This window comes from Homo sapiens, chromosome 17, assembly GCF_000001405.40.
Source record: "Homo sapiens chromosome 17, GRCh38.p14 Primary Assembly".
In the NCBI taxonomy this organism is placed as follows: domain Eukaryota; kingdom Metazoa; phylum Chordata; class Mammalia; order Primates; family Hominidae; genus Homo; species Homo sapiens.
In genome coordinates this window covers 6,711,556-6,725,817 of record NC_000017.11, presented here as the reverse complement: position 1 = coordinate 6,725,817, position 14,262 = coordinate 6,711,556, and the positions used below count along the sequence as shown (strand labels likewise).

The 14,262-nt window shown below is 46.8% G+C and overlaps 1 protein-coding gene across 5 annotated transcripts in view; it reads left to right on the top strand.

The window, feature by feature from the left end:
• SLC13A5 (solute carrier family 13 member 5) overlaps positions 12,449-14,262 on the top strand; it is a 28,651-nt gene continuing 26,837 nt past the window's right edge. For all 5 annotated transcript variants that reach the window (NM_001284510.2, NM_001284509.2, NM_001143838.3 and 2 more), the window contains exon 1: positions 12,449-12,586. In NM_001284510.2, the coding sequence (NP_001271439.1) occupies positions 12,485-12,586 (102 nt within the window). In that variant the 5' untranslated portion in view covers positions 12,449-12,484. The remainder of the gene's footprint in view (positions 12,587-14,262) is intronic.

Below are 14,262 nucleotides of genomic sequence, written 5' to 3'. Positions count from 1 at the left end.
GGGTTTGTTACATATGTATACACGTGCCATGTTGGTTTGCTGCACCCATTAACTCGTCATTTACATTAGTTACTTCTCCTAATGCTATCCCTCCGCCTGCCCCCCACCCCACGACAGGCCCTGGGGTGTGAGGTTCCCCGCCCTGTGTCCAAGTGTTCTCATTGTCCAATTCCCACCTATGAGTGAGAACATGCGGTGTTTGGTTTTCTGTCCTTGTGATATTTTGCTCAGAATGATGGTTTCCAGCTTCATCCATGTCCCTGCAAAGGACATGAGCTCATCCTTTTTTTATGGCTTCATAGTATTCCATGGTGTATATGTGCCACATTTTCTTAATCCAGTCTACCATTGATGGACACTTGGGTTGGTTCCAAGTCTTTGCTATTGTGAATAGTGCCACAATAAACATATGTGTGCATGTGTCTTTATAGTAGCATGATTTATAATCCTTTGAGTATATACCCAGTAATGGGATGGCTGGGTCAAATAGTATTTCTAGTTCTAGATCCTTGAGGAATCGCCACACTGCCTTCCACAATGGTTGAACTAGTTTACAGTCCCACCAACAGTGTAAAAGCATTCCTATTTCTCCACATCCTCTCCAGCATCTGTTGTTTCCTGACTTTTTAATGATCACCATTCTATCTGGTGTCTCATTGGTATCTCATTGTGGTTTTGATTTGCATTTCTCTGATGACCAGTGATGACGAGCATTTTTTCATTGTCTGTTGGCTGCATAAATGTCTTCTTTTGAGAAGTGTCTGTTCATATCCTTCGCCCACTTTTTGATGGGGTTGTTTTTTTCTTGTAAATTTGTTTGAGTTCTTATAGATTCTGGATATTAGCCCTTTGTCAGATGGGTAGATTGCAAAGGTTTTCTCCCATTCTGTAAGTTGCCTATTCACTCTGATGGTAGTTTCTTTTGCTGTGCAGAAGCTCTTTAGTTTAATTAGATCCCATTTGTCTATTTTGGCTTTTGTTGCCATTGCTTTTGGTGTTTTAGTCATGAAGTCCTTGCCCATGCCTAAGTCCTGAATGGTATTGCCTAGGTTTTCTTCTGGGGTTTTTTATGGTTTTAGGTCTAACATTGAAGTCTTTAATCCATCTTGAATTAATTTTTGTATAAAGTGTAAGGAAAGGGTTTTTTTTTTTTTTTTGAGATGGAGTCTTGCTCTGTCACTAGGCTGGAGTGCAGTGGAGTGATCTCAGCTCACTGCAACCTCCGCCTCCCAGGTTCAAGCGATTCTCCTGCCTCAGCCTCCCAAGTAGCTGGGATTACAGGTGCATACCACCATCCCCGGCTAATTTTTTGTATTTTTAGTAGAGATGGGGTTTCACCATGTTGGGCAGGCTGGTCTCAAACTCCTGACTTCAAGTGATCCACCAGCCTTGGCCTTCCAAAGTGCTGAGATTACAGGTGTGAGCCACCGTGCCCAGCCCAGAAAAGGTTTTCTTATAAGATGAGACTATTTAGAGATCTGAAAGAAGTAAGGGAGCCAGCGGTGTGGATATCTGTGAGGACAGCATTGCAGGATGAAGGGACAGCATTTGCAAAGGTCCTGAGGTGGGAGCAGGCATGGCGTGCTCCAGGATGAGCAAGGAGGAGCAGTTCAGGTAGAGTGAGTGAGGCAGGGAGAGGTAGGAGGAGAGGACAGAGGTAGCAGGAAGCCAGATCACATTAATATGGTTTGGATTTGTGTCCCCACCCCAGAACTCATGTTGAATTGTAACCACAGTGTTGGAGGTGGGGCCCGATGGGAGGTGACTAGGTCGTGGGGTGGATCTTTCATGAATGGCTCAGCACCATCTCCTTGGTGCTGCCTCATGATAGAGTTTTCACGAGCTCTGGTTGTTTAAAAGTGTGTAGCCGAGGCACAGTGGCTCACGCCTGTAATCCCAGCACTTTGGGAGGCCGAGGCAGGCGGATCACAAGGTCAGAAGATCGAGACCATCCTGGCTAACACGGCGAAACCCCGTTTCTAATAAAAATACAAAAAATTAGCTGGGCATGGTGGGAGGCGCCTGTAGTCCCAGCTGCTCAGGAGGCTGAGGCAGAAGAATGGCGTGAACCCGGGAGGCGGAGCTGGAAGTGAGCCGAGATTGCGCCACTGCACTCTAGCCTGGGCGACAGAGTGAGACTCTGTCTCAAAAAAAAAAAAAAAAAAAAAAAAGAAGTGTGTAGCATCGGTCAGGCATGGCGGCTCACACCTGTAATCTCAGCAGTTTGGGAGGCCGAGGTGGGCGAACCACGAGGTCAGGAGTTTGAGTCCAGCCTGGCCAACATAGCAAAACCCCGTCTCTACTAAAAATACAAAAAAATTTGCTGGGCATGGTGGCAGGCACCTGTAATCCCAGCTACTCAGGAGGCTGAGGCAGGAGAATCGCTTGAACCCGGGAGGCGGAGGTTGCAGTGAGCCGAAATCGTGCCATTGCACTTCAGCCTGGGTGACAGAGTGAGACTCCATCTAAAAAACCAAAAACAAAGAAACAAAAACCGTGTGTAGTGCCTCCCCCTGCGCTCTCTCTTCCTCTTGTTCCAGCCATGTGAAGATGCTTGCTCCCGCTTTGCCTTTCACCATGTATGAAATTTTTCTGAGGCCTCCTCAGAAGCCAAGCAGATTCCAGCATCATGCTTCCTGTACAGCCTGCAGAACTGTGAGCCAATTAAACCTCGTTTCTTGATAAATTACCCAGTCTCGGGTATCTCTTTATAGCAATGCGAAAATGGACTAATACACACATGACCATTTTGAAGGCCTCGGGTTTACGGTGAGTGAGGTGGAAAGTCGGTGGAGGGTTTTGAGCAGAGAAGTGACATGATTGGAATGATCATTTAAAAGGTTGTCTCTGGGGGCTGTTCTGAGAATAGACTGAAAAGAGGTAAGTGTGAAGGCAGGGAGATCAGTTAGAAATCCAGGCATGGAGGCTAGATCAGGTTAGTTCCCATGGAGGTGATGAGAATAATTGCATGATAGATATATTTAGAAGTTAGAGCCCAGAGGACTGGGTTGGAAGCCTGGATGTGAAAGAAAGTCAAGAATAATCCAAGTGCTTTGGGGGAAGACGGAGTCTTACTCTGTCACCCAGGCTGGAGTGCAGTGGCATGATCTTGGCTCACTGCAACCCCTGCCTCCCGGGTTCAAGCGATTCTCCTGCCTCAGCCTCCCAAGTAGTTGAGATTACAGGCACGTGCCACCACGCCTGGCTAATTTTTGTATTTTTTAGTAGAGACAGGGTTTTGCCATGTTGGCCAGGCTGGTCTTGACCTCAAGTTATTCACCCACTTCGGCTTCCCAAAGTGCTGGGATTACAGGTGTGAACCACTGCTCCTGGCCCAGTCCAAGTGCTTTTGGCCTGAGCAATTGGAAAAACAAAAAAGGACTTTCTATTTACTAAGATGGGAAAGATTGCAGTTTGGGCTGGGGAATGGTATTCTGGAGTGATTTTGGACATGTTAAGTGCGAGATGCCCATTACAAATTCAAGTAGAGTTGTCAAGTAGGCTGTCGGAGATGCAAATGTGGAGTTAGGAGAGAGGCTGGGGATGGCCTGGAGATGTACATTTGGGAGCTGTCTACATGTGATGGAGTTTAAAGCCATAAGACTTGATGAAATCAGGGAGGAACTGAGCCCTGGGACACTCCAATGTTTGGAGTTTCAGAAGAACTCAACTCGCAAAAAAGACTGAGAAGAAGCCGCTGCGATGGTGGGAGGAAAACCAGGGAGTGTGGTGTCTAGAGGCAAGTGGAGAAGGTGTTGTAAGAGACAGGGCTCAGTATTAACAGACGCTGCCAAGGGGGAGAGAGAGAAAAACTGAAAGGTGGCCATTAGATCAGTGATTTGGAGGTGACTGGTGACCTTGACACTTGGTCTGAATGGAGTTGCACAATCCTGATTGGAATGGGTTCAATGGAGAATGGGCGAAGAAAAAGTGAAGACAGTGAGTATAAACAACTCTTCCCAGGAGCTTTGCCACCAAGGCCACAAGAAAAATGGGTGAGGGACGAGTGTGTGAGGAAGAGAGGGTTTTGTTGAGATAGATGTTACCAAATGTGTATACACTGTTGAGAATCTTCCAAGTAGAGAGGAAAAATTTGTCCCACAGAGTCTTTTTCTGAAATATCTCACACTAATCCTCTCCTTCCATTCCCAACACAGATGTCTTATTTGGGATTCTGACAATTTTCTTTAAAAAAGAAATCTTCGTCTAATTTAATTCAGAGGGTAAACTTTATATGGCATCTTTAACAATGATATGCAATGTGCCATAAAAATGTACACATTTGTCAGGGGCAGTGGTTCACACCTATAATCCCAGCACTTTGGGAGGTCCAGGTGGGCGGATCATGAGGTCAAGAGATCGAGACCATCCTGGCCAATATGGTGAAAGCCCGTCTCTAGTAAAACTACAAAAATTAGCTGGGCATGGTGGCAGGAGCCTGTAGTTCCAGCTACTCGGGAGGCTGAGGCAGGAGAATCGCTTGAACCTGGGAGGTGGAGGTTGCAGTGAGCAGAGATTGCGCCACTGCACTCCAGCCTGCCAACAGAGGGAGACTCGGTCTCAAAAAAAAAAAAAAGTGCACATTTTACTGATGGAAAGATATCCCCCCAACACAAATATTTTCATCTTTTCTATTGCTGAATGCCTCTGGAGGGGGGAAAAAGGACTTAAGATTTGCATGCCATTCAGCAAAAAAAAGGAACTGAATAGAGTGAAGGGGAAAATGTGAAACCTCACTCAGCCCAAAGGAAACTGTGGATTCAAGGCTACTAGTACTACAGTGACACACAACTTTGGACCCAGCATCAATTTGGAAAGAGATCAAAGTTTGCATTTTAATTCAGATGTCATTTATATACACAGTGATAAAAAGAAATTTGCCTAAGTGAAAAACACACAGTACAGCCTTTTCTTCCTGGGCTGCTCTCTCTCTCTAACGTAACAACCTCTGCTTCCAGAAAAAAAGGATCGTGTAGGAGGGGACTACATTTTCAGTATGCGGGACATCAGCTCTCCTTATTTTGTCGGAAATACTTTTTTTTCTTTATCTTATACCTTGCACCTCATGAATACATTTCTAGTATTAAATGCATGTGGGCACCTTTTAAAATGTTAGAAATATTTATTGTGCCATCTTTAAAATATTTTTAAAATAATAAAGGATAATATGATAAACATCTCTGTATCATAGCCAGTTACAAATAATAAAACACTTCAGATACAGCTGAAGTGTCACTCTTTAATCGCATGCCCTCCCCTGCCCACAGATTAAAGCTAAACTAAATTTGGTGTTTATTTATCACTACATTCCTTTTGTTTCTTTTTTTTAGAGACAGGGTCTTGCTCTGTCTCCCAGGCTGAAGAGCAGTGGCGTGATCATAGCTCACTGTACCCTTGAACTCCTGGGTTCAACGGATCCTCTTGAGAAGCATCTTTTAAGACCCAGTATAGTCAGAAAGATCTTGGGTAATAAAAATGTTAACTTCAACACACCTTCGCCAACATAATAGAAAAATGATTTTCTGGTAGTATGTGTTTTAAATGTACTTTCATCAAAACCTTGGAGCTACAAATTTAGCTCAGCTGGTTATGGGAAGCATCCTCTGTAAACCCTAATTGGCAAAGTTAGTCTTTACTGTCAAATTAAATATCTGAATCAGACTTAATTCCTGCCCCAAAAAAGAGTCTGATTTCATTTTCCAATTTGAATATGTATGTTATCATCCCTGTGACAACCATCTTCGAATGTATATAACTCATAGAACTGAGCTCTTCAAACTCACATAAGTTGGTACCATTTTCACACACTTTAAAGAGAGAGATACAAGTGTCTTGCCCTGGACTTAATAATATTTACTGTGGGTGGTAGATTATATTATTTGTTCACAATTATTAATTCTCCCCACGTTTGCCACCCCTCCCTGTAGACAGAGTATATTTCCCCCACTCCATTGATTTTGGACTTGGACATGAGACTTGCATTGGCTAGTAGAAGGTGAAAGAGGTGAACATGCTGTCCCTGAGCAGAAGATTTTAGAGGTACTGCAAATTCCCACCAGCATTCTTGGCTCCTGTCATGAGAACATGTCCCCAAGAGCCTCTGCTTCCTCAATCTGGGTGAAGCCCCTCCACAGTACAGAACGAGAAGACTATGGAGCCCCCCCCCACCATTTCCCTACAGCCTGGAGCAGAGTTGCCAAACCACAGGCTCCCAGCTGACTTGCAGCACCCCCATAAATATAGTAGCTGTAAGTCTACCCCAGGGAACGCTGACCAATACTCTCTTCTATTGACAACATCCAGGACCTGCCTTTTTTAGCAATCAAAGCTTGTTTACAAATAAAACAGTGTTCCCAAGTTAAAATGTGGGGAAAAAAACCTGATAAGCCTACTCTATTGACCAATGGAGCAGCTCTGTCCATAGAAATACTCACATACCATGCCCAAGTAAGTGTAAATAAACTTACTTACTTAAGTGAGTTTAAATAAGTAAGATTCAAATGAAAGCATCCAAAATCTAAGAAAATCCTAGTCACCTGCTGCACTTCTTGGCTTGTCTGCATGTCGCGATCTCATCACAATGAGCCATCACAGCTCACTGCGACCTCCACCCACTGGGCTGAAGCGACCCTCCCACCACACCTGGTTAAGTTTTTGTATTTTTAGTAGAGATGGGGGTCTCATCATGATGCCCAGGCTGGTCTCGAACTCCTGAACTCAAGCGATCCGCCTGCCTTGGCCTCCCAAAGTGCTGGGATTACAGGCACGAGCCACAGTGCCTAGCCTAGTATCACAATTTTCTTAGCTACCAATATCAGCCATAAAATGTGAGCTGGGGCCAGGTGTGGTGGCTCATGCATGCAATCCCAGCACTTTAGGAGGCCAAGGCTGGCGGATCACGAGATTAGGAGTTCGAGACCAGCCTGGCCAACATGGTGAAAGCCCATCTCTATTAAAAATACAAAAATTAGCTGGGAGTGGTGGCAGGTTCCTGTAATCCCAGCTACTCGGGAGGCTGAGGCAGGAGAATCGCTTGAAACTGGAAGGCGGAGATTGCAGTGAGCCAAGATCGCACCACTACACTCCAGCCTGGGCAAAAGAGCGAAACTCTGTCTCAAAAATAAATAAATAAATAAATAATAATAAAATAAAAATAAAAAATAAAAAAGCTGGAAAGAATTGAATTCATCAGTCTGAGGTATATTTTTTATTTGCCACAAATTAAAACTGCTTTTTATTTTGAAATAGTTTCACTCATCAGGTGTTACAAAATAGTACAGAGGGTTGCCATCTACCATTTCTCCAATAACTGCAAAGGGAACCTGAGGTCAAATGGATGTAACACGCCACATTTTAGAATTTCTATACCAAAAAGTAGGTTTTTACTCTCTCAGTTTTAAGATTAAAATTGTATTAAATGATTCTCAAGTGGGGAAAAAAGTTGCATCACACAGTTACATACTATGTACCATTATAACTAAATATTCCCAAATAGTTTTATGTAGATCAGTAACATACTGTAAGTTAGGGAATAATTTATTTTTGTGTTCGAGAAGTATATTCTAATGTTTGGATTTATATTTTTAGAAATACTGTTGTAAGACCTGAGAAATTCAGAAGACAATCTGACAATAGTGTAGCCGGACAAGCCGCAGACAAAACACCTCAGACACCGAGTTAAAGAAGGAAGGGGTTTATTCGGCCAGGAGCATTGGCAAGACTCCTGTCTCAAGAGCCGAGCTCCCCGAGTGAGCAATTCCTGTCCCTCTTAAGGGCTCACAGCTCTAAGGGGGTGCGCGTGAGAGGGTCGTGATCGATTGAGCAAGCAGGGGGTATGTGACTGGGGGCTGCATGCACCGGTAATCAGAACAAAACAGAACAGGACAGGGATTTTTACAATCCCTGGAATCTATAGACAACATAACCGGTTAGGTCAGGGGTGGATCTTTAACTACCAGGCCCAGGGCATGGCGCTGGTATGTCTGCCTGTGGATTTCATTTCTGCCTTTTAGTTTTTACTTCTTTCTTTGGAGGCAGAAATTGGGCATAAGACAATATGAGGGGTGGTCTCCTCCCTTAATAGGTTACTAAAAGTAGCCACATCAAGACAAAATTATCGTGATCTAATATACTTTATGCATTTTATGGTAAGTTACCAATACAAGATCTAAATTCGGATGCACTTTCTTTTTCATTACTTCATTTTTTATAGTGCAATGAAATATGTGGCTAAAATTTTAAGTTATCTGTGAAGTAGAAGTATGACAACAGGCAGGGCTTTTCTTTCGTAAAAAAATCTGTGTGCATAAATTGAACTCATGTTCAGCTCTTGGGAATAATTAAATAAGACTCATAAATTAAAAAATCGGAAATAGGTTGGGCGCGGTGGCTCATGCCTGTAATCCCAGCACTTTGGGAGGCCGAGGTGGGCAGATCATGAGGTCAGGAATTCGAGATTAGCCTGGCCAATATGGTGAAACACCATCTCTACTAAAAATACAAAAAAAAAAAAAAAAAAAATTAGCCAGGCGTGGTGGCACGCACCTGTAGTCCCAGCTACTCGGGAGGCTGAGGCAGAAGAATTGCTTGAATCCGGGAGGCGGAGGTTGCAGTGAGCCGAGATTGTGCCACTGCACTCCAGCCTGGGTGACAGAGTGAGACTCCATCTCAAAAAAAAAAAAAAAAATCAGAAATAACCTTATTATTAGAAATTATGCTCAAACTTCTCCTACATGTATTTAGCATACTTAGTGAAAGAAAAATGTCTATATTGCTAAAAACTAATTGATCCAGCAACTGAGAGTACACTTTGGATAGATCACTCAATCTCTGTTGTAAATAAAGTTTCCATGCAACCATGGGTCTATTTCTAGGCTCTATTCTACTCTTTTTCTAACCTCATGTCAATAGTTAATGATTACATCAACTATTACAAGTTAGTCATTCTTGAAGTCTAAATGGCAATTTCCCCCGTGTTTTTCCAGAAGTGTCGTAATTATTCTTGGCTTACCTGCTATTCTACCTGAATTTTAGGCTTGTTAACTAAAAATCCTGTTGGGATTTTAATTGGAATTGAATTGAATTTATAGGTTAATTTGAGAGAAATGGATAGTCCTACAATGTGTGGTCTCCCTATCCGTGAACTTGGTATAATCTCTCCATTTATTTAGCTTGTTGTTGTTGTAGCACTTTGGCCTTGGAATTTTTCTTAACAATCTTAATATTCTTTTTCATTTGGTGCTAACTTTGACTATCCTCCACTGCTGCCTGGCAAATTATTACTTAGCCATTAAGTTTTTTTTTTTTTTTTTTTTTTTGCAGGGGGACGGAGTCTGGCTCTGTCACCCAGGCTGGAGTGCAGTGGTGCGATCATGGCTCACTGCAAGCTCTGCCACCTCCTCTGTGAAACCTTCCTTCATTACTTAGGCAGAGTTGGTGGATCCTTCTCTTAAGGCCTCACCAACCAGGGTATTTTGCATACAATTGCAAGAATGGATATTTACTAACAGCTGACTATATGCCAACGCACTGAGTTAAGCTCTGACCATGAACTCATATAATCTCCAAAACAGCCATTTAAAATCAAAGTTGGTGCTATTATCTCCATTTATGACAGGATAAGCTCATAGAGAGCAACTTGTCTGAGGCACACAGCCAGGATGAGCTAGGGCAAGATATAAGCCCAGGAACTCTAGCCTCAGAGTCCATGCTCTGGTGAATCCCTTTGGAAGCAGTTGTATTAAGAACAGAAGTTGTACTTTTACATTGTTGGTGGGAGTGTAAATTAGTTCAACCATTGTGGAAGACACTGTGGCGATTCCTCAAGGATCTAGAACCAGAAATATCATTTGACCCAGCAATTTTATTACTGGGTATATACCCAAAGGATTATAAATCATGCTGCTATAAAGACACATGCACACTATTTACAATAGCAAAGACTTAAAACCAACCCAAATGTCCATCAATGATAGACTGGATAAAGAAAATGTGGCACATACATACCATGGAATACTATGCAGCCATTAAAAATAATGAGGTCATGTCCTTTGCAGGGACATGGATGAAGCTGGAAGCCATCATTCTCAGCAAACTAACACAGGAACAGAAAACCAAACACCACATGTTCTCAGTCATAAGTGGGAGTTGAACAGTGAGAACGCATTGACACAGGGAGGGGAACATCACACACGGGGGCCTGTCAGGGGGTTGGAGGGCAAGGGGAGGGAGAGCATTAGGACAAATACCTAATGCATGTGGGTCTTAAAACCTAAATGTCCGGTTGATAGCTGCAGCAAACCACCATGGCACATGTATACCTATGTAACAAACCTGCACATTCTGCACATGTATCCCAGAACTTAAAGTAAAATTAAAAAAAAAGAAAAGAAAAAAGAACTGAAGTTGTTTACTTGCTCTCATTCATGCATCCCGGAGAAAAAGGTTTGAGTGCACATCCTGGATTAGGCACTGAGAAAGGCACTAGCTGGACAGGTGGTGATGAATAAAACAGACAGTAAATAGAAATTACATCATAATAATGTGTCATATATTTTAAAATAGCTACAAGATATTTTAAATGTTCTCACCACAAAGAAATGACAAATATTTGGGCCAGACGCGGTGGCTCACGCCTGTAATCCCAGCACTTTGGGAGACCGAGGTGGGCGGATCACCTGAGGTCAGGAGTTCGAGACCAGCCTGGCTAACATGGTGAAACCCCATTTCTACTAAAAATGCAAAAAATTAGCCGGGCGTGGTGGTGCACACCTGTAATCCCAGCTACTTGGGAGGCTGAAGCAGGAGATTTGCTTGAACCTAGGTGGCAGAGGTTGCAGTGAGCCGAGATCGTGCCACTGCACTCCAGCCTGGGTGACAGGAGCACAACTCTGTCTCAAACAAACAAACAAAAAACAAAAACAAGAGAAATGATAAATATTCGAGTGATAAATATGCTCATTAGCCTGATTTGAACACACCACAATTATACACACATTGAAAAATCACATGGTACCCCGTAAATATAGACAATGATTTGTCAATTAAAAATGAAATAACACTTAAAAAATAAAAAAGTAAAAAGTAAAAATTACACCAATAAATATAAGAGGTACAAATTGTGCTAAGTGCCCTGGGGACACAGGAAAGGCGGGAAAACCCAGGGCTATATGCATGAGAGTTACAAAGGGAAAAGGACAGGAGGGAGGCAATTGCAGGAGGGGCTTGGGAGAATGCATGTCCTTGGGTGCAGGTCACAGGAAGGAACTCATGAGCTTGATTCAGGATGTGTTGAATTTTCGGGCCGAGACACGTCCAGTCTGCGGAAGGCTGGACATCTGGGACTCTGGCATCATGGCTGGGTTGAAGGCAGAGGATGGTAATCACTAAGGAGCCGGCTGTGGTTAGGCCACCAGCATGGATGAGACTCCCCAAAAGGAAGCTGCAGAATGAGAGGCAGGCAGAGGAGAGGAAAGAAGAAAATCACAGAGGTGGGGATGTCTTTGCATCCGTGTGTCTCCAGTGCCCAAAACAGGGCCTCGCGGAGAAGAGGTGCTCGGCACCTGTCTGTTGCCTGGCGGGCTGAATGAATACATGGGCGACTGTCTCAGTGTCGCCTTAGTTGTGTCCCTTCCTCTCTAGAGCTCCGTTTCCCTCTGACCTGGGTCGGGCGGGCAGCTGCGGCTGCTGAGGCTCGGTGGGGCCCCTCCAAGACGCGTGTCCGCATCTGCCCGCCGGGCGTCTGCGGGGTGCAGCGTCCACTGGAGCGCGACAGCCCCTGGGACAGAGGAGGACAGTGGCCTCGCTTCCCTGTGCGATCGCCCAGGAGCTCCGGGCCGGAGAGTGCGAGCGGGGAAAAGGGGTCCTGCACCTAGAGTGGGGCGGACGTGGCGAGGAAGCCAGGGGGGACCGGGAAGCGAGGCCCGCGGTGCGGAGGGCGCGGGGCGTGGGGGGACACCTCTCGGAGAGACACCGGAGGGGCGGAAGTAAGGAGATGGAAAGGAGAGGGAGATCGGGGAGATAGACCTGAGAGACCCAGAGGCCTGCAGAGAGTTTCATCCGGGACCCTTCAGAGCCCAGGAAAGAGCAGATGCGGACGCGGGAGGGCGCCTTACGCCAAAGCGGGCAGCACCAGTGACCAAAACACGCCCCGCTTGGCAGCCCCGGGACGCACCTCTGCCTCGGCAGCGCAGGAGAGGCTTGGACAGCGCGAGATGCTAGGGCCCAGGCTGCCCCTAGAGGGCTGGCCCGAAGCGTTGGAGTCCAAAGACGCCTCCCACCGCCGCCGGGTGGCAGAATTGGGGGCAGGCGCGTCCCACAGACCCCGAGGGGTGGCCCCGCCCCAGGGCCGCGGGGAGGCGCCCCCGTGCGGGGCGGAGTTGTCACCGCCCCCTCCCCAATCCCCGGGGACTGTGGCCCCTTCTTAAGCCCGCGGCGCCTCTAGCTGCCCCTCACTCGTCTCGCCCGCCAGTCTCCCTCCCGCGCGATGGCCTCGGCGCTGAGCTATGTCTCCAAGTTCAAGTCCTTCGTGATCTTGTTCGTCACCCCGCTCCTGCTGCTGCCACTCGTCATTCTGATGCCCGCCAAGGTCAGTTGCATCTCCAGGCAGCCCTTCGGACACCCGGCGTCCTGTGCCCACTAACGGGCACCGATCCCGGGAGCCCTGAGCTGGAGCGCACGGATTTCGCGGGGAGCACAGCTCTCCCGGGGCGCGCGCACTCAGGAGCTCCAGGTGCCGGATGGGAGGTGCCCTGTAAAGAATCTGAGGGGCATGGCGACCCCAGGGCGCACCACCCTTGGGGTTTACAGATCCCAGGGCGCAAGAGCCGTCCAGGCAAGCACGGAAACCTCGAAGTGAGCACAGATCTCAGCCACACAGATCCCAGCCTTAGGCTCAGCCCCTGGCTCCGAATCGAATCTCCCACAGTGCATAACCCTGTTTCCCCCCAAAATGCCACCTGCGCCAACAGGGAACCTGGGAGCTTGCCTTTCCCTCTCTCTCTCCTGTCTTTTCCCTTCGCCAAAGAAGACTTCAAGCTGTAGGTGGCTTCTGCCGTCAGGAGGGACCTACAGGAAAAAAATCATCACCCACGTGGATCCTGCGCTGTCTTTGCCACTCTCTGGCCCTTCCTTGGGCCTTAGTGTCTCTATCTATGATCCACATTCCTTCCAACCTGGAGAGCCACATCTGATTCATAATCCTGCTCCAGGCTGCAGGCAGGTTGGGGTTGGCCTGCTTTGCCTCCTGCCTGCTGGGGCTGTAGCAGGAGGCGGGACACATTCCCAGAGCTCGCGCCTTGGGTGGCAGGACCTGGAGTTGCAGGGAAGCTTCCTCCCAGGCCCTAGTCTCCTAATGCTTCTGTGAGGGAGAGAGAGAATGAATGGCCTTGGCCGCAGGGTGGGCGCAGGCTCCACTGGGCTGTGCACAGCCAGTTTGGCGGAGGCCCAAGCCCTTTGAAGCCTTTTGTGGCTGCTGGCTGCTCCTTCCTCGTTCCTTCTTTCAGCCCTTTCACTCTCAGCCCAGACAGGAAACCTCCAGCTCCCCACCTCCCCTCCCCAGGCAGGTTTGGGAAACAGAGGAGCTCTTCAGGGGATGCTCTGGGGGGGAGCTCTAGAGGAAGGGAGTGCACTGGGGTGTCAGGAAGCCAACCTGCAAGAGAACTGGACTTCCACCATTCTGTCATCTGTGTGACTTTAGCCAAGTGCCTGTGCTCTCTGGGCCTTGGTGTTCTCATCTGTACAATGGGGCTAGGTGGTTTGGTTCTGACACTTTAAGGCTTTGGGAATCAAAAGGGATTAACGTTAGTTCCTAGGATGGGGGAGGGGGAGACTGGGAGGAGCCCTTGGGTGGGCCTAGCACAGGCCCTGGATGGGTCAAGGACAGCAGATCCAACTGTGGAGGCTGTGCAGTTGCCACACCAACTGTGGGCAGCCACACTTCCTCTGTAGCAAGAAGTCTGGGGTTGTTATTGTCCAGGGGAAGTAGCCAGGCAGGAGAGCTGCGATTTCAGCTCTGCTGGTAGGGAGTGATGTTCCCTGGAATGATTATAGTAGCTTGGCTGACCTTCCTGCCACAGGAGACCCCACTCACACACACACACATACACACTCTCTCTCTCACACACACACACTCACAAACACACACAGACACACACACAAACACACAGACACACACAAAACACACGCACAAACACAAACACACACAAAAACACACGCACAAACACACACCCAAACACACAAACACAGACACACAAACACACACAC